Genomic DNA, 19,847 nt, shown 5'->3' with positions numbered 1-19,847 from the left:
GCAACCTCCGCCTTCCAGGTTCAAGCAATTCTCTTGCCTCAGCCTCCCGAGTAGCTGGGATTACAGGAACCCGCCACCACGCCCAGCTAATTTTTTTTGTATTTTTAGTAGAGACGGGGTTTCGCCACGTTGGCCAGGCTGGTCTCGAACTACTGACCTCATGATTCACTCACCTTGGCCTCCCAAAGTGCTGGGATTACAGGCATGAACCACTGCACCCGGCCCAACTCATACCTTTTTTTTTTTTTTTTTTTTGGCAACCGTGTGCATTGGTACTGTCTGTCGGTGCAGTTCATCTATATGTTGTTGTGTGTGTGTGTTGCTTGGGTGTTTGTCTCCTTTGTAATGGTCGTGGGTGACAAGTGTGTCAGAGTACTTGTCCCTCCTATATGTGTATCTATGCGCACGTATCTTTCTTTGTGTGTCTGCTGCTGTATTTGTGTCTCTTCTTAGCGAGTGGCTGCAGGTATGTGTGCCCTCGGGGTGTTTCTTCTGGTGCCATGGTATGAGTACTATCTGGTTCTCTTGTTTTTTCCTTGTGTAGCTTTCAGTGTGGTTTCTGGATTTTTTCTTTGCAACGATAGTAAGCGTACTCTGCATTCCTGTGCTTTGTGTTTGTGTGCAGGTATATGCTTTCCCTATATGTTTCTTTTCTGACTTGATTTGTGACTAGCTGTGTGTGTACACGGCTGTGTGCAGCCATTTGCTGAAATGCAGTTGTGTGTGTGTGTGTGTGTGAGAGAGAGAGAGAGAGGAGAGAGAGAGAGAAGGAGACTATGGCTTTTCTGTTTGTACAAAAATCATGTCAGCCTATGAGTGCCTCTCTCTGTGACTGGAGCTGTATGTGGTTACATGTGGTCACAAGTGCACATTCAAGTTCACATACACAGAGATATCATTTTAGGGCTTGAACCTGGAAGTTTGCCTCCAGGGTCATCTGAACCTGGATTCAGGTTCAGATCCAGGGCCATCTGAACCTGGATCGTGTGTGTGGGAAAGACCCAGGACCCACACACAATGTCATCAGCTGTGTGTAATTGTGTGCTCTGTGTGTGGCTGTGAATCTGTGTGTGTGATTTGCCTGTTGATTGTCTTTGGCATGGCTGTGGGTCCACGGGCGGTGAGGTTCAGGAGTCTCGAGTGTCTGGAAATCGGCACAAGCCTATCCCTGTGTTAGTCTGTGCTCTCTGTGAGCGGCTCTGAGCCTGTCGGTATTGATAGCTGTAAGACTATCGTCACTCTGTGTGGCCACGTGTGTGACTGTCCCATGAGCCATTGCTCTTAACGTGCAGTGGTGAGTCTGTGTGTGTTCATGTCTGTCAGTCTTTATTCTCTTGTGTGGCTGTGAGTCTTTGTGCACCTCTGTGAGTGATGGCGAGTTGGCCCCCGTATCTGAGCCCCTTGATGGGGCTGTGATGGGTCCTGTTGTGTAGCTGCGATTCCTGAGTGTGCAGGAGTCTCTCTCCCGCTGTGGGGAAGTAAACGCCCCATCCCTTGTCCTCCTCCAACTGTGGGTGGGGTGAGGGCATCTAGGCCAGCTTTGAAGCCCCAGCCAGCTCCTGGCCTTTCCGGGAATTCTGTGTTCCCTGTCGGGGGTGGGCAGGCGGGCGAGGGGCCCAGACAGAGGCCTCTTGTCCACCTGGGCTTCAAGCAGCCCAGTCGAGGTGGTCCCAGACCCCAAGTCCACCCTGCCTGACATCCTGTAGCGGACACGTGGCTTGCCTGGGACAGGCATGCCTGTCATATGCCTGGAGGGGAGTGAACAGACGGACTCCCATAGAAGACAGACGGACAGACAGATAGTGGGACTTCTCAGGGCTTGGACAAGCCCCACCCCACGCTTGGGGTGGGGTCCAGGACTACAGTGCCCGCCCAGTTTGCGGACAGTGTGAGTTCACAGTCCACATTCCCCACCCAGCCACAAATGCCCTCCCTGCCTCCCTCTGGGGGCCCCCAAGATCTAGGGTCCTCTCGTGCCTAGGCTGTCTGCCTGAGGTCTGCCTGGAATAGCCTGGCTACTACCCCTGCACCTGTTCCCCTGCTGTCCCCAGGCCTCTCTGCCTGAATCTGCCTCTCTCTGCCTCTTTTCTCCTGTCCCTCCAGGAGTCTCTCTGCCTCAACCACTCTCTCTGCCCCTTCATCTCTCTGAGCTGGTGTGTCTGGTCCTACCCTCTGTTTGGGGAGCTGTCTGGCTCTGTCCCCCACCTCTTGGCCAGCCTGTGTCTCCTGTCTATGACTGAGCCCAATTGCCTGTTGCCTTTCTGCAGGTGTTTCCACGAGCCTATCCCTACCCACCTGTTTGTTTCTGAGTCTGCCTGTGTGTCCCTTTCTCCCTGTCTCTGCCTGTCTTCCAAGCTCCCCTAGCATCCCCTCCTCCCGCCCATCTGTCTTTCTGTCCCTTCTGTGGTCTGTCTGTTCCTGTGCTGTTTCTCATGCCTGCTTTCTTTGTAACTTCAGTTCTCCTACTCTCTCTCTGTCTCCTCTCTGCACCTTTTTCTGCCATCCATCCCATCCTGCTGTCCGTCTGCTCTGTGAGTCCATCCCCTCTGTCTGCCTGTCACTCTCTCTAGCTGTGGGTCTACACCCTCAATCTTTCAGGCCATTTCCCCCACCATCAACACACAAACAAACCGCTGTCTCCCTCCAAGTGGGTCCAGATAGGGGGCGCCCCTTCTCCACCTCTTCCCCCGCCCAGGGCCAGAAGGAGGGAAACGAAATTAAAATTAACATTTCTTCTCAGGAAAAAAAAAAAAGTACCGCTCCAGAGCAGGAGCCTAGGCAGCCGAGAGGGTGCCCGAACCTGAGTCTGAGTTGCGGCCACTTCAGGAGCTGAGAGGAGCAGGTAGGTGAGGAGGGAGCGTGGGCTGCGGGGATGGTGTTCCTGGGGGCCTGAGATATGAGTAGGGGTCCTGGGAGGGGGCTCGGGGTTCCTTGGAGACATTTTAGCACTAGTGGGGAATGGAATGGCGTGTATGGGGAGGTCCTTTTTGTACCCTGATCCCAGGAAGTGAATTCAGGTGTGGGTGGGAGGCTCCGGAGGGTGCTGGTGGTGGGGGATGGGACTCCTTGAGACCCTCCCTGTCCCAGGAACGGGATTCAGGACTTGGGAAAAGGATTTCCTGAGCCAGTTTGAGCTCTAATGGGGACCTTGAATGGGGGTTTCTGAGATACCTCCTTCCCAAGGAGTAAGCGCGGGAGGGAGCTGGGGTTTCTTCAGAGACGCTGTACCTACAAGACAGGGGCTCCAGGCTCGGGTGGGGATTGCAGAGACACCCCCACCCCAGGAAACTCGGTAGGCCACGGGAGGGGGTCTTTGATGAAGGTCTCAGAAATAGCTCTTCCTCCGGAGGGAAATGAGGGCTCGGGCCAGGTTCCTGAGACACCCCACACCCCACACCTAGGAAGTTTCTCAAGTCTGGCAGTGTCTCCAAATTGACTTCTGCCAGAAGATGAGTGTTTAAGACTTGCTAGGGGCCCTGGAAAAGACCTCTAGGCCCTAGAATTGGGGTCAAATGGGAGTCCCTGGGTCATTTCTGTCCCTGGGAAGGGGCTCGGTTCGGGCACTTGTCTTTGGCTTCTAGTGAGGATATTCAGAGTCGTGGCAGAGAGCAGTTTGCAGCGTCTGGGGCAGGGGTCTCCGAGTCTGTCCCCAACCCTCAGCTCACTCAACAGGTTGCATTAGCTCTGGTCTCGGGCTTGGGGGCCCAGGCGGGAAGGAGGGGGGTGAGGGCATTAGGAGGGGTGGGGCAGCCAGGCCGACACGTGTCCCTGCAAGGAGTGAGCCGCCTGGCCACGCGGTGAGGGTGGAGGGAAGGAGAGGGGGTGGCGCGGGGGACCGGGGAATGAAAGACACAGATGGCAAGAGAGACAGCGTGAGTCTGGGGTCTGGGAGGAGAGGCTATCCCTTCTCCACGTGGTCGGCTCATCTGCGCTGGGGTCCGGCTCTCTCTGTAGCTTTCTGTCTCTCTCTTCCCCACTATTTCTCTCTCACTGGCTCTCTCTGTGTCTCTCTGAGTAACTAACTGTTGGCTTCTCTCCTTCTCTGATTTTTGTTCTTCTCTCTCTCTCATCTCTTTCTCTGTCAGTCTGCCTCCATTTCTATCCCTGTCTGTTCCTGCTCCCCTGCCTTGTCTCTTTCTCCGTCTTTCCATCGGTCTCTATGGGACTCCCCTCCCCCCTTCTTCAGCTCCCCTCACTTTGAAGCATGCTCGTTCCATCTCTGATCCCCCCACCCCATTTCTTTGCCCACAGGATGGAACTGCAGGATCCAAAGATGAATGGAGCCCTCCCTTCGGATGCTGTGGGGTGAGTCAGGGGTCCAAGGAGGTGGGCTCAGGGATCAGGGGTCAGGATTTCCCTCTTATCGGCCCCTATTTCCCTGCCCTATCCAGCTACAGGCAAGAACGTGAGGGCTTCCTGCCCAGTCGTGGTCCTGCTCCTGGGAGCAAGCCGGTCCAGTTCATGGATGTGAGTGGCCCCACAGGATCTGTCCTGGTGGCACCTTCCCCAGCTAATCTCCTCCCGCACTGCTCCCTCTTCCCCACTCCTCCTCCTCCCTGCTGTTCCCCTGCCCAGCTATCTCCCCAGCACAGCTACACACTACTTGGTCGCTCCCCTCTCCAGATACTCCTCTTCCCCAGATATGCCCTTTCCAGCTCTCTCCCTGGCCTTGTTTCTCCCCACCCGCTCTTCGGCCCAGTGACTGCCCTCCCTGGCTGCTCCCCTCCCGGCCTGCCTTTCTCCTCCAGCTGTTCTTCCTCCTCCAGCACTCCCCATCCTCAGCCTATCCCCACCCGCAGCGTCTCCCCTCCCCAGCTGTTTTACCTCTGGTGGCTGCTTCACCCTCCCCCGGTCCTCTCCACTTCCAGCTGCTCCCTCCAAAGTTTGTCCTAGTTTCCCCCTTCCCAGCTCTCCCCATTCGCAGCCTCTTCCATCTTCAACTCTTCTTCCCTGCTAGCCTCTTCCCTCCTCCGATGGTCTCTCCTTGGCTTCTCTCCACCCCGCTTGCTTCTTCTCTAGTCTTTCCCTGGCCCTGGCATTAGTCTCCTTACCCTGTGCCCTGTCCCAATGTGTGCCCGGGCTTTGCTCCTTGCGTGCAGTTCGAGGGGAAGACATCGTTTGGAATGTCAGTGTTCAACCTCAGCAACGCCATCATGGGCAGCGGCATCCTGGGGCTGGCCTATGCCATGGCCCACACGGGGGTCATCTTCTTCCTGTGAGTCCATAGGTGGCCTGCGGGGCCAGGGGTGTTGTGGGGCAGGTGGGAGGCCTGGGGCCAGGTCTGAGCTGTGCCACCTGCCGCAGGGCCCTGCTGCTGTGCATTGCGCTTCTGTCGTCCTACTCCATCCACCTCCTGCTGACCTGTGCTGGTATTGCAGGTGAGACCCAGAGCCTGGATCCCAGTCCCCACTCCACCCCTTTGGACCCCAGACTCTGGAGCCACATCCAGAGCTCAACACAGACCTTGGACCCCAGACCCCAGACCCAGCTCCCTGAATGCAGACCCCAGATCCCGGACCCAGCACCCCAGAACCCACCCCCAGACCACTACACTCTACCTCTAACCCCCACCCCTCAGTCCCCGGTTCCCCAGCTCCTACCATGGTCTCAGTTCATAGTCTGGCTCCAAGACCCCTACTCTTACCTCCAGCCCTCATCCTTTTCCCTGGCCTCAGATCCCACCTCCCAGACTCTGCCCCCAAACTCAAGCCCAACTGCTTAACCCCCACCTTCATCCTCCATCAGTCAAAGCCGGTTCCCCCAAGCCCCAACTCCCCAGCTCCTGGGCCCTCTGGCCTGCACCTCTGGCCTGGCCTCCTGGACCTTCAACCCTGTTCCTGACTCCCCCCGCTAGGCATCCGAGCCTATGAGCAGCTGGGACAGAGGGCATTCGGGCCTGCGGGGAAGGTAGTGGTGGCCACAGTCATCTGTCTGCACAATGTTGGGGGTGAGGACTCTGGGAGGTGGGGGTCAGCTTGGGGGGAGAGGGCGGAGTGAGGTGGGCTTCCCCAGGCTGGGCTGGGGAAGACGGGGTGGGGGCATGAAGAGAATCCTTCTGCTTACACCTCCCCCACCTGCACCAGCCATGTCCAGTTACCTGTTCATCATCAAATCTGAGCTCCCCCTGGTTATCGGCACCTTCCTGTACATGGACCCCGAGGGGTGAGTGAGCAACACCCCTTGGCTGGCCAGCAGCCCCTTGACTCTGCCTGTGAGGCCCGGTCAGTATCTTCAGCGCTGTGTGTGCAGCTGACTTCCAGATGTTCTAGTTTGAGACTGCTGGGCAGGCCACTTGGGTCAGACTGATTCCTCTGTGTGCCTGTTGCTCTGACCACAGGAGTCCAGTCGACCGTGTGCTGATTTTGTGACTTATTCTGGCTGCTTCTGGCTGGAGGCTGACTCTTTATGTCCGGTTTACTCTGCTGCTGACCATGTGTGTGTGAATGTACATAGCCAATGGACTCAGACTCTGCCTGTGGGTTTGACTCTGCGTCTGCTGTCCTGGCTGATTCTCTTGGGCTAGCTCTGTGATTGACTACAGCTGTGTCCCGTATACTGGGATTCCAACCATATGTGTCTTACCCTCGGTCACTCTGACTTCCCCTGTCCAGCTGATTGTTTGAGCTTGATTCTAGGTTCATCTGGCTGAATCTGTCTAGCTGTGAGTGTGTGATCACTGACTCCGTCTAGCTGTGAGTGTGTGATCGCTGACTCCAGCAGTGTGTCTGTGTGCACGTAGTATGCTGTGGTACCAACTATGTGTGACTCACTCTGACTGTACGTGTCCAGCCAACTCCATCTCTGTGTTTGATTTGGTGGCTGTTCTGGCAAATTCTCTCTGGTGTGTGTGTGTGTGTGTGTGTGTGATCCCTGAATGTGGCTATGTGTCCTCTGTATTATGGTTGCAACCATATATGCTGGACTGTTCTGATTATGCATCTGGCTGACTGTGTGTGAGTCCGGATCCGCTGTGCTGGCTTGGTATGTGTGGGGGGCATGTGCACGATGGGACTCCAGCAGGGCTAGTGTGTATGCACAGTGTGTTGCAGTGCTTGTGCTCCAGCTGCACGTGTGTAGCTGCCTCTGTGTGTTTCATGAACAGCTCTGTGTGTCCAGTGGCTAACTCTGCCTCTGGTCCCATGGGCTAACTCTGCCTCTGGTCCCATGGGCTTTGCATGGTGTGTAGATGTGTCTCTGGTTTTGTCAGTCTGACTCTGGTCTGTGTGACAGTTTTTTTTTTTTTTTGACAGAGTCTCATTCTGTCGCCCAGGCTGGAGTGCAGTGACACGATCTCAGCTCACTGTAACCTCTGCCTCCCAGGTTCAAGCGATTCTCCTTCCTCAGCCTCCTGAGTAGGTGGGATTACAGGCATGCACCACCATGCTCGGTTAATTTTTTAATTTTATTTTTTTGAGACAGAGTCTTACTCTGTTGCCCAGGCTGGAGTGCAGTGGCGCCATCTTGGCTCACTGCAACCTCCACCTCCCAGGTTCAAGCCATCCTTCTGCCTCAGCCCCCATGCTCGGCTAATTTTTGTATTTTTAGTAGAGACGGGGTTTTGCCATGTTGGCCAGGCTGGTCTTGAACTCCTGACCTCAGGTGATCTGCTTGCCTTGGCCTCCCAAAGTGCTGGGATTATAGGCATGAGCCACCACACCCGGCCAGTCTGACAATTTTAACTGAGTGCTTGATCTTTACTCTCTGTGTGTATCCTTTTAGATTTTTGGTTTGATTCTGAGAACACTAGATAGCTGATAGTGTGACCAGAGATGTCTCATTATTATAGTTAGCTCCCATTGGTTTATTTCTGTGTAACTGTATATGAGATAGAAAGAGACCATGTGAATGTCTAGAACATAGGCATTCAATCAAGTTGTTTTGAATGCATGAGCAGTTGTTCAGCTGATTCTGTCTTAACTGACTGTCTTGCCTGGTCACCTTCCTCCAATATCTGTACAGATCCCACCTTTTCTCAGAGCTTGGTTCCAACAGTGTGGCCAGCTGGATGATTTCGTTTCTATTTCAGTCTTTCTTTGGCTGTGCAGCCAAATCAGTCCACAGGCATACTTTCAGGCATCCAACAAACCTTGAGCTGTTCAAACAAGCATGCATGTGTGTTTCTGACTTTTTGATGGACTCTGCATCGTGGCTTGTCTACTGGATCATCAGACTGTTGCTCTACCTGTCAGACATACCACGATCGTGACTCACTCTCTTTGTGTCTGGCACCTTGTGTTGCACTGATTTTCTCCTTTCTTTCTTTCTCTTTCTTTCTTTCTTTCTTTCTTTCTTTCTTTCTTTCTTTCTTTCTTTCTTTCTTTCTCTCTCTTTCTTTCTTCCTTTCTCTTTCTTTCCTCCCTTCCTTCTTTTTTTTCTTTCTTTCTTCCTTTTTTTTTTTTTTTTTGAGTGTCTTGATCTGTCACCCAGGCTGGAGTGCAATGGCGCGATCTTGGCTCACTGCAACCTCTGCCTCCTGGGTTCAAGTGATTCTCCTGCCTCAGCCTCGCGAGTAGCTGGGATTACAGGCACGCGCCACCATACCTGGCTATTTATTTATTTATTTATTTTTTTGAGACAGAGTCTCCCTTTGTCGCCCAGGCTGGAGTGCAGTGGCGTGATCTCGGCTCACTGCAAGCTCCACCTCCCGGGTTCATGCCATTCTCCTGCCTTAGCCTCCTGAGTAGCTGGGACTACAGGCACTCCCCACCACGCCTGGCTAATTTGTTTTGTATTTTTAGTAGAGACAGGGTTTCACCATGTTGGCCAGGCTGGTCTCAAACTCCTGACCTTAGGTGATCCACCCGCCTCAGCCTCCCAAAGTGCTGGGATTACAGGCGTGAGCCACCACACCTGGCCTGGACTGATTTTTACATTGAGTCTGACTGATTTGGGGTGTTTGACCTTCTGGTTGTGCAACCACTTGCGAAGTCTGATGGCAAGTTTTGTCCAGCTGTGTATGTGTTAGCTGTGTCCCACTGATAGTATCTGACAATCTCATAATCAGCTTGACTGTTTTTGTCAACCCTATTGTGCCGTTTGTCACTGTGACCACCTGAATGACTTCTCAAGCTGAGGTTGTCAGCTTAACTCTCCTGACTTAGGGCAGAAAGCTGCCTGTCCAGCTGTCTTCTGTGAGTGTCTGCCTGACAGTTTCCTTTGGCTGGCAGCTAGGCACTGTGTCTTCCTGTCTCTCTAGGGACTGGTTCTTGAAGGGAAACCTCCTCATCATCATCGTCAGTGTGTTAATCATCCTGCCCCTCGCCCTCATGAAACACTTGGGTAAGAGGCTCCCTGGGTTGGCCATTGGGTAGTGGGATTAGACAGAAGAAGCCAGACTGAGAAAACCCCCATTCATTTTCAAGGGCTGCAGCACACTAGGAGAGAGCTTATTTGATGTGGGCTTGAACAGATTAGTAGGAGTTTGCTATGGAGGGGAGGTTTTTCTGGGTGGAAGTAGAAGCTTATGCAAAGGTAACTGGGGTGGGTAGACCTTGAAGGCTAGACTAGGTGTTTGGAGTTCACTGTTCCGGGGGTCCATTGATTTTTTTGTTTTGTTTTGTTTTTTTGAGACCGAGTCTCACTCTGTCACCCAGGCTGGAGTGGTGCAATGGCGTGGTCTTGGCTCACTGCAACCTCTGCCTCCCGGTTCAAGCGATTCTCCTGCCTCAGCCTCCCGAGTAGCTGGGATTACAGGTGTATGCGCCACCACACCCAGCTAATTTTTGTATTTTTAGTAGAGATGGGGCTTTGCCATGTTGGCCAGGCTGGTCTCGAACTCCTGACCTCAGGTGATCCACCCGCTTAGGCCTCCCAAAGCGCTAGGATTATAGGTGTGAGCCACCACGCCTGGCTGATTTCTGAGACTCTGTGTTTTGCCCCTCTTAGGCTACCTGGGGTACACCAGTGGTCTCTCTCTGACCTGCATGCTGTTTTTCCTTGTTTCGGTGAGTCACAGAGAAGCGGGGAGAGAGTTTGGGACATTGGGACATAGCTTCCTCCATGACCTGGCTTCCCTGCTGCCCCCATCCTCAGGTCATCTACAAGAAGTTCCAACTTGGCTGTGCTATAGGCCACAATGAAACAGCAATGGAGAGTGAAGCTCTCGTGGGACTCCCCAGCCAAGGACTCAACAGCAGCTGTGAGGCCCAGATGTTCACAGTTGACTCACAGGTGTGTGTGCAGGCATGTAGGAGATTGCATCACACTCAGGCCCTCTGGTTCTGTCATATGGTGCATCCTGCTCAGAGTGGAGCTGGATATTCGACATTGGGAGCTTCTATGTGTCTGATATGGAGGGCGATTACGGGGCGGGAGGGGGATGGGAAGAAGGGGATGGACCCCTGTTGGCTCTAATCCCATGTACTCGGGCATTCCCCTAGATGTCCTACACAGTGCCCATTATGGCTTTTGCTTTTGTCTGCCACCCTGAGGTGCTGCCCATCTATACGGAGCTCTGCCGGTGAGTGGGCAGGCAAGTGGGCCTGAATGATGGGCCAGCAAGTGGGGTGGTAACCAGAATGTCTGACACTCCCTACAGCAGTCCTGGGACTGTCACTTGGTGGAAGCTAGGTTGTGTCATGGGAGGGGTTTGGGGTGGCCAGGAGGTCTTGGGGCACTCAGGGTAGTGACTGTTTGCTGATTGGGGCTTAAGTATTCTCCTATTTTAATATCCAGCACAAATGTGGATGGACAGAGTTGGGAAGCAGAGATCAGATGATCAGATGGAGGGGGTGATATGCATGGCTGGTGATATGGGGATAGGGAGGTACGGACAGACAGAGGCGGAGGCAGGGATGATATGATGGGAGATGTGTGGATGATCAGACAGAGGGACAGCATGGATGGTCAGATGGAAGAGGCAGTGGCAGTCAAACGCAGGGGAGAGGGAGACAGTCATATCGGGGGAGATATGGATGGTCAGAGAGGGGATTTTGGCTAGTCACAGGGGAGGCAGAGACGGGTGTCCCCATGTGTGCCAGCTGAATGGCAGTCTGGGAGAAGGGGACTCTGGAGGGTGGAGGCTGGCTTTGAGGGACCTGGGGCAAGTCTCAGGGTCTGGGCATGACAGTTCCACGACCTCTACACCTCAGGCCCTCCAAGCGCAGGATGCAGGCCGTGGCCAACGTGTCCATTGGGGCCATGTTCTGCATGTATGGGCTCACAGCAACCTTTGGATACCTCACCTTCTACAGTGAGTGGGGCTGGGGCTAGGGCTGGGGGGAGGGGGAAGGCCTGGGGCAGGAGCCTCTGAGCTCTTTCCTTCTGTGACCACGGACCTGTCAGTTTCCAAACAGAAGGTGTGCCTCACTTGTGTGGATTTTGTCACTGTGCATGTATGTATGGGTTTCTGGGGCATTGGTCCTGGTGCTCTCTCCACATCCTGCATCCCGTACCCTCTGTCTCATGGCCCAGGCAGTGTGAAGGCGGAGATGCTGCACATGTACAGCCAGAAGGACCCGCTCATCCTCTGTGTGCGCCTGGCCGTGCTGCTCGCGGTGACCCTCACTGTGCCAGTCGTGCTGTTCCCTGTGCGTGGGGCCCACGGCTGAGAGGGACATGGATGGATGGGTAGAGGGCATAGGCATGGATGTGTGGGTCAAGGCTGGAAACAGGAGTGGATGGATGGATGAAGGAGGCAAGGATGGACAGACAGGAAAGGGCAGCGTTTTCAGATGGACAGAGATGGCAAAAATCGATAAACAGAAGTGGGGAGGACATAGATAGCAGGAGAGAGAGGGTCAGGGGACAGGGTAGTCAGTTGGAGGGAGGAGGCACAGATGGATGGCTAGAAAGAAGAGGGAGGCAGGAAGGGTCAGTTGGAGGGTAGAATTAAGAAACAGGGATGGACAGAAAAAGGGTGGAGGCTGAAGTGATGGGATGTAGGAGGGTCAAGTCTCCCAGATGGGGAGGCAGAACTAATTAGACAGAGGAGGGAGGTAGAGGTCAGATGGAGAGAGGCAGGGAGCTCACACAGGGTGGAAGGATCGGTGGATGGTCAGACAGAAGGAGAAGGCAAAGATGGTCAGCTAGAGGAGGAGGCAAGGATTTCAGACAGTGGGTGCAGGTGCCGATGGGTGTTCAGACAGAAGGAAGAGACGTGGATTGTCAGAGGATGGAGGCAGGAAGCCTGTTCAGAACATAGAGACACAGATGTTGGGTTAGGCAGGGTGGAGCCATAGATAGTCAGAGGGAGGGGAAATCAGGGATCTCAGCCAGAGGGTGGAGCTAAAGACAGATGATCACGTGGAAGGGGGGCAGCACTTGGGTCCTGACTTCTGTCCCACCCTACTCTGGCCACAGATCCGCCGGGCCCTGCAGCAGCTGCTTTTCCCAGGCAAGGCCTTCAGCTGGCCACGACATGTGGCCATAGCTCTGATCCTGCTTGTTTTGGTCAATGTCCTTGTCATCTGTGTGCCAACCATCCGGGATATCTTTGGAGTTATCGGTCAGTAAACCTCACCCCAGTCCCATACCCCATCTAATATGGGCCTTGTCCCCAAGTCAGGTTGACTCCTGTCCCTTCTTCTTGTTCTCCAGGGTCCACCTCAGCCCCCAGCCTCATCTTCATCCTCCCCAGCATCTTCTACCTCCGCATTGTACCCTCTGAGGTGGAGCCTTTCTTATCCTGGCCCAAGATCCAGGTAAGCATTCCAGGGCAGAGCTAGGGAGAGAGGGAGCACTCCAAGGAGGGAGTGCTCACTCCAGGATGGCTGGAGGTGAAAGGGACATGCATAGGAGGGGGCTGGGAGAGCATCTGAAAGAATGGTCTGGAAGAATGAAGGTGATTGTCTAGGAAGGGGCAGAGGAGACAGAGCACCAGCAGGGTCCAGGAAGACAGGGAGCACTCAAACAGAGGCTGGCATAGAGGGAGCATTCTCCAGACAGATGGAAAGAGCACTATTGGGAAGAGAGCTGGAAGCACTTTGAAGAAGGAGGATGGAGGAACGTATTCTGTCATGGGTCCTGGGAAGGTGGAAGGACTCGCAGAAAGGGGCTGGCTGTAAGGAAGGAGAGGGCATACAGAGGAGGGTCAGGAATGGATGGAGCACTCTCTGAAGGAGGTGGAAGACTTGAGGAACATTCTCAGAAGGCAACTGGGTGAGGAGTCCCAACCAGCCCCATCTTGTCTCTCTGGCCCACAGGCCCTGTGCTTTGGAGTCCTGGGAGTCCTCTTCATGGCCGTCAGTCTAGGCTTTATGTTTGCCAACTGGGCCACAGGCCAGAGCCGCATGTCTGGACACTGATCAGGCCCTGCTGGCCCAGGTCCCTGTGCGCATGCACATGGAGGGGTCAGGGCCGCTCCCTAGGGTCCCTCCTGCCCAACATGTGGAGGTGGCTGGTTCCCATGAACGTGGTTGTCAGAGGCGGGGGACAGCAGAGGCTGCAGACTGGCCCACTTCCCTCCTCCCCAGGGATGCCAAGCTTGGATCATGGCCCTAATCCCAACCCCAACCCCATGGGAGGAGGAGGAGGAGGAAGAAGAGGAGGAGGAGGAGGAGGAGGAGGAGGAGGAGGAGGCCAGGTCCTGGTGGAGCCTTTGCCCAGCCCAGTCCTCTCTGCCTCCTCCTGGCTGAAGCTGTTTGTCAGGATTACCCTCGGGCTAAAGAGGAAAAATAAAGATGTTGAGCTACCACTCTGGACTCAGCCTTCTGATCTTTCTCTTAGTCTTGCTGGGGGAGCCTGCCGGAGTCCAGGCTGGAGCAAACTGAAGCCCTGCGAGTGGGACTGTGCCTGATCATGCATTCATTCACTTCACTCTTTCAGTAACTTGCTACTCAACTTAATATTTCACCCACTTGGCCAGGAGCAGTGACTCACGCCTGTAATCCCAGCACTTTGGGAGGTTGAGGCCGGCGGATCACTTGAAATCACAAGTTTGAGACCAGCCTGGCCACCATGGCAAAACCCCGTCTCTACTAAAAAATACTAAAATTAACTGGGTGTGGTGGTGCACGCTATAGTCCCAGCTACTTGGGAGGCTAAGGCGGGAGAATCGCTTGAACCCAGGAGGCGGAGGTTGCAGTGAGCCGAGATTGTGCCACTGTACTCCAGCCTGGGCGACAGAGTGAGACTCCATCTCACACACAGAAAAAGACTTCACTCATTCACTCGGTAAACATCTCCTGAAAGCCTACTGGGTGCCAGGCACTATTCTAGGTGCTGGGGATATAGCAGTGAACCAAGCAGACAATAGTGCCCTGGAGTTGATGTTCTGACACACGAGTGGGCAAATCCATCCTGCTGCCTATTTTGGTATGGCCCTTGAACTAAGACTGGCTTTCATATTTCTAAATGATTGAAAAAAGGTGGATCCAGCATGGTGGCTTATGCCTGTAATCACCAGCACTTTGGGAGTCTGAGGCAGGAGGATCATTTGAGAGCAGCCTGGGCAACACGGCAAGACCCCATCTCTACAAAAAATATTAAAAGAAATAGCCGGGTGTGATAGTGCAAGCCTATAGTCCCAGCTACTTGGGAGACTGAGGTGGGAGGATCGCTTCAGCCCGGGAGATTGAGGGTGCAGTGAGCTATGATCACGCCACTGCACTCTAGCCTGAGTGACAGAGTGAGACCCTGTCTCAAAAAGAAAAGGGGCTGGGTGTGGTGGCTCATGCCTGTAATCCTAGCACTTTGGGAGGCCGACGCGGGCAGATCACCTGAGGTAAGGAGTTCTAGACCAGCCTGGCCAACGTGGTGAAACCCCGTTTCTACTAAAAATACAAAAATCAGCCAGGCATGGTGGCACGCGCCTGTAATCCCAGCTACTCAGGAGGCTGAGGCAGGAGAATCGCTTGAACTTGGGAGTCAGAGGTTGCAGTGAGCCAAGATCTCACCACTGCACTCCAGCCTCTGTCTCAAAAAAAAGAAAAGAAAATGAAAAAATATTATTAAAAGAAATAATATTCTGTGACACTTGGAAATTATGTGAAATTCAAATTTCAGTGTCTAAATCATTTACATATCAATTTCAGTGTCTAAATTATTTACATATCATTTACAGTGTCTTCTTCATTTACATATTGTTTGTGGCTTTCTCGTGCAGAGCTGAGGATTTGCAACAGAGACCATATGGCCTGCAAAGCCTGAGCTATTAACTCTCTGGCCCTTTTCAGAAAATGTTAGCTGACCTCTGACCTAACAAAGAGAATAAAAGAGAAATCATTCCTCATAAAGATGGTGCAATGAAGAAAATGAGCGATGTGAGAGTGGTGTGGGGAGGTGGTGGGTGAGGAGGCATTCAGCGAGACTTCACTAAGGAGGGGGCAATGAATTTGGTCCTAGGTTGGCTGAAAGGAGCAAGCCTCATGGTTATTTTGGCAAAGGGTGTTCCAGGCAGAGGGAGCAACAGGTGCAAGGGCCCCGAGGTAGGAACGAGCATGGCTGGTCCAAGCAAGAGCAAGGAGAAGCTAGCATGAGTATGTGAGTGCCATTTTCACCACAGCCTTGTCAACAGCCTGAGCAATGCAACAGATTTTTGTCAACCTCATAGAAAAAATGGTATTGCCATTACACTTCACATACGTGTGTGTGTGTGTGTGTGTGTGTGTGTGTGTGTATTTCTAATTCTTTAATTTTTAATTTTTAACTGTTTTTGAGACAGGGTCTTGCTCTGTCATCCAGGCTGGAGTGCAGTGGTGCCATCACGGCTCACTGAAGCTTTAGCCTCCCAGGCTCAAGCTATCCTCCTGCCTCAGCCTTCTGAGTAGCTGGGACTACAGGCATGCGCCACTATGCCTGGATAATTTTTAAAATTTTCAGTAGAAATGAGATCTCTCTATGTTGCCTAGGCTGGTCTCAAACTCTTGGGCTCAAGTGATCCTCCCACCTTGGCCTCCCAAAGTGCTCGGATTACAGGCATGAGCCGTATTTATGAAATAAGGTTTTTTTTTTTTTTTTTTGGCAGGGTTTCACTGTCATCCAGCCTGGAGTACAGTAGTGAGATCACAGCTCACTGCAACCTCAACTTCCCGGGTTCAAGTGATTCTCTTACCTCAGCCTCCCAAGTAGCTGGGACCACAGGCATATGCCACCACACCCGGCTTATTTTATTTTATTTTATTTTATTTTATTTTATTTTTTAGATGAAGTCTTGCTCTTGTCTCCCAGGCTGGAGTGCAATGGCACGATCTCGGATCAGTGCAACCTCTGTTCCCCGGGTTCAAGTGATTCTCTTGCCTCAGCCTCCCGAGTAGCTGGGACTACAGATGTGTGCCACCACACCTGGCTAATTTTTTGTATTTTTAGTAGAAACGGGGTTTCACCATGTTAGTCAGGATGGTCTCGATCTCCCGACCTCGTGATCCACCTCCCGACCTCGTGATCCGCCTGCCTCAGCCTCCCAAAGTGCTAGGATTACAGGTGTGAGCCACTGCGCCCGGCCTTTTTTGTATTTTTTTGTAGAGACGGGGTCTCACCATGTTGCCCAAGCTGGTCTCGAATTCCTGGGCTCAAGTGATCCACCCATCTCGGCCTCCCAAATTGCTGAGATTATAGGCATGAAGCACCGCACCCAGCCTGAAGGAAGCTTTTAGATGTTTGAGAGACATTTGCTTATCCTCCCAGATAATTTTTACGCATTTATAAGCTACTACACATATATATTATTTCCCTGCTTCTATTTACAAATAGGGCAGTTGTCTGTAGTTGATTAATACTATATGCTCCTTGTTTCACTGTTCTTTATCCCTTACTGCCACTAAACTTAAGCTCAACAAGCCATTCTTTTTGAGAATAACGGTAGCCTGAAATTCCAGCACCTGGCCTTCAAACTGCAAGTCTTGGCTGGGCACGATGACTCATGCTTGTAATCCCAGCACTTTGGGAGGCCAAGGCAAGAGGATGACTTGAGGCCAGGAATTTGAGACCAACCTGGGCAACATAATGAGATCCTGTCCCTAAGTTTTTTTTTTAATTAGCTGGGCATGGTGGTGTGCACCTGCAGTCTCAGCTACTCAGGGAGGCTGGGGTGGGAGAATTGCTTGAACTAAGGAGTTCAAGGCTGCAGTGAGCTGGATTGGACCATTGCACTCCAGCCTGGGCAACAGAGTGAGACCTTGTTTCAAAAACAAAAAAAAAAAACAAAAAAAACAAACAACAACAACAACAACCCCCCCCCACCAGAAACCTCATACCCATTAATAGTAACTCCCCACTCCGCCCAGCCTTTGGGAACCATGAATCTACTTTCTGTCCCTACGGATTTGCCTATTCTTGGCATTCATATAAGTGGAATCATACACTGTGGTCTTTTGTGTCTGGCTTCTTTCACTTAGCATATTTTCAAGGTTTATGCATGCCACAGCATGTATCAGTACTTCATTAAATCTTCCGATCCATGAAAAATGGGCTATCTTTCCATTTATTTAGGTCTTTAATTTCCTTCAGCAATGTTTTGTAGTTTTCAGTGCAGAAGTCTTACACTTCCTTGGGATGCAAGTCCTACTTAGGGGATTTTAGTAGTCTTTTGGTGCTGCTATGATAGAATACCTCAGACTGGGTAATTTGTATAGAACAGACATTTATTTTCTCACAGTTCTGGAGGCTGGAAAGTCCAAGATCAAGGCACCAGCATCTGGTCAGCGCTTTTTGCTGCATTCTCATATGGCAGAAGGCAGAAGGACATGAGAGAAGCAACTCCCTCCATCTCATTTATAAGGACACCTAATCTCATTAGGGAGAACCCCTCATGGCCTAGTCACTTCTTAAAGACCCTATCTCTTAATACTGTCACATTGACAACACCTGAGTTTTGGAGGGGACACATTCAGACCATACTAGGGATTAAAAATAACATCTTAATTTTTAGCAATCTAGTTCAGATTGATACCAACTTAATTTCAATACTATACAAAACATTGCTCTTATATAGCTTTGTCCACTCCCTTTACTGCCACTAAACTTAAGCTCAACAAACCATTCTTTTTGATAATAATGGTAACCTGAAATTCCAGCACCTGGCCTTAAAACTGCAAGTCTTGACTCATGCCTATAATCTGGGCACTTTGGGAGGCTAAGGAGGATGACTTGAGGCCAGGAATTTGAGACCAACCTGGGCAACATAGTGAGATCCTGTCTCTACACAATATTTATTTATTTATTTATTATTTATTTATTTATTTATCTATTTATTTAGAGACAGAGTCTTGCTTTGTTGCTCAGGCTGGAGTGCAATGGCACGATTTTGGCACACTGCAACCTCTGCCTCCCGGGTTCAAGCGATTTTCCTGTTTCAGCCTCCTGAGTAGCTGGGACTACAGGCATGCGCCACCGTGCCCAGCTAATTTTTGTATTTTTAGTAGAGACAGGGTTTCACCATGTTGGCCAGGCTGGTTTCAAACTCCTGACCTCAGGTGATCCGCCTGCCTTGGCCTCCCAAAGTGCTGAGATTACAGGTGTGAGCCACCGCGCCCAGCCCCAATTTTTTTTTTTTAATTAGTCGGGCATGGTGGTTTGCACCTGCAGTCCCAGCTACTCAGGGAGGCTGAGGTGGGAGAGTTGTTTGAACCTAGGAGTTCAGGGCTGCAGTGAGCTGTGATTGCACCACTCACTCCAGCCTGGGCAACAGAGTGAGACCTTGTCTCAAAAAGAAAAAAAAGCAAGTCTTCATATTTAACAGAAAGAACCCCAAAAAGAGATGAGGGCAATGTCCCTACTCCTAGCATCAGCAGAAGATGAATTTTTCATTTTGATTATTACACTTTTAAACTCCAGAAATTTCTATTTGGTTCATTTTTTATATTTCTATGTCTGTATTGATACTCTCTATTTGGTGAGATATTGTTTCTATACTTTAGTTCTTTAGACATAGTTTCTTTGAGGTTTTTGGACGTATTTTAAATAGCTCATTTAAAGTCTTTTTATTAGAAAACCCAGCATCTGGCTGGGCGTGGTGGCTCACACCTGTAATCCCAGCACTTTGGGAGGACAAGGCAGGTGGATCACTTGAGGTCAGGAGTTCAAGACCAGCCTGGCCAATATGGTGAAACCCTGTCTCTACTAAAAATACAAAAAGTAGCCAGGTGTGGTAGTGGGTGCCTGTAGTCCCAACTACTTGGGAGGCTGAGGCAGTAGAATTGCTTGAGTCTGGGAGGCAGAGGTTGCAGTGAGCCGAGATTGCACCACTGCACCCCAGCCGGGGCGACAGAGCAAAACTCTGTCTCAAAATAAATAAATAAATAAAATAAAATACATTAAGAAAAAAGGAAAACCCAACATCTGGGCTTTCTCAGGGATGGTTTCTATAGGTGGTCTTTTTTCTTTATTCTGTGGATGGGTCGTATTTTCTTCTTTCTTTGCAGGTGTCATAATTTTTTATTGAAAACTGGACATTTCAAATAATATAATGTGGCAACTCTGGAAACCAGATTCTGTCCCTTCCCTGGGGTTTCTTGTTGCTGTTTTGTTTGTTTGTTTTCAATGTTTGTTTAGGCTGAGCTCGGTGGCTCATGCCTGTAATCCAAGCACTTTGGGAGGCCAAGGCAGGAGGATCATTTGAGCCTAGGAGTTTGAGACCAGCTCGGGCAACATAGTGAGACCCCGTCTCTTAAAAAAGAAAAAAAAATTGGCCGAGCGCGGTGGCTCACGCCTGTAATCCCAGCACTTTGGGAGGCCGAGGCAGGTGGATCGTGAGGTCAGGAGATTGAGACCATCCTGGCTAACACGGTGAAACCCCGTCTCTACTAAAAATACAAAAAAATTAGCCAGGCGTGGTGGCGGGCCCCTGCAGTCCCAGCTACTCGGGAGGCTGAGACAGGAGAATGGTGTGAACCCGGGAGGCGGAGCTTGCAGTGAGCTGAGATCGCACCACTGCACTCCAGCCTGGGCGACAGAGTGAGACTCCATCTCAA

General features: G+C 51.7%; 1 protein-coding gene across 8 annotated transcripts, besides 1 other annotated feature; it reads left to right on the top strand.

Moving 5' to 3' along the window:
• SLC38A5 (solute carrier family 38 member 5) lies at nucleotides 1,917-13,633 on the top strand. 8 transcript variants are annotated; one of them, XM_006724569.4, is made up of 17 exons: nucleotides 1,917-1,995; nucleotides 2,741-2,842; nucleotides 4,252-4,305; nucleotides 4,392-4,467; nucleotides 5,100-5,215; nucleotides 5,305-5,378; nucleotides 5,855-5,947; nucleotides 6,084-6,162; nucleotides 9,197-9,279; nucleotides 9,886-9,944; nucleotides 10,033-10,170; nucleotides 10,380-10,459; nucleotides 11,091-11,191; nucleotides 11,413-11,528; nucleotides 12,301-12,445; nucleotides 12,538-12,641; nucleotides 13,413-13,633. In XM_006724569.4, the coding sequence occupies exons 3-17, from the start codon at nucleotides 4,253-4,255 to the stop codon at nucleotides 13,572-13,574; spliced, it is 1,479 nt and encodes a 492-aa protein (XP_006724632.1). In that variant the 5' UTR covers nucleotides 1,917-1,995; nucleotides 2,741-2,842; nucleotide 4,252; the 3' UTR covers nucleotides 13,575-13,633. The 8 variants fall into 8 exon arrangements, with proteins under 8 accessions (XP_006724632.1, NP_277053.2, XP_005272752.3 ...); NM_033518.4 differs by having other exon boundaries at nucleotides 13,143-13,633; XM_005272695.5 differs by lacking the exons at nucleotides 1,917-1,995; nucleotides 2,741-2,842 and adding an exon at nucleotides 2,948-3,292 and having other exon boundaries at nucleotides 13,143-13,633.
• Nucleotides 5,246-5,365: an enhancer, noted in NCBI's record as "active region_29602". NCBI's record gives its function as "activates an Ori minimal core promoter by ATAC-STARR-seq in GM12878 lymphoblastoid cells {active_cell/tissue: GM12878}" and the evidence as "EXISTENCE:reporter gene assay evidence [ECO:0000049][PMID:35858748]".

Source organism: Homo sapiens, chromosome X (assembly GCF_000001405.40).
Source record: "Homo sapiens chromosome X, GRCh38.p14 Primary Assembly".
NCBI classification, from domain to species: domain Eukaryota; kingdom Metazoa; phylum Chordata; class Mammalia; order Primates; family Hominidae; genus Homo; species Homo sapiens.
Note: the sequence above shows the minus strand (reverse complement) of the source record. Positions and strands in the feature narration are given on the sequence as shown.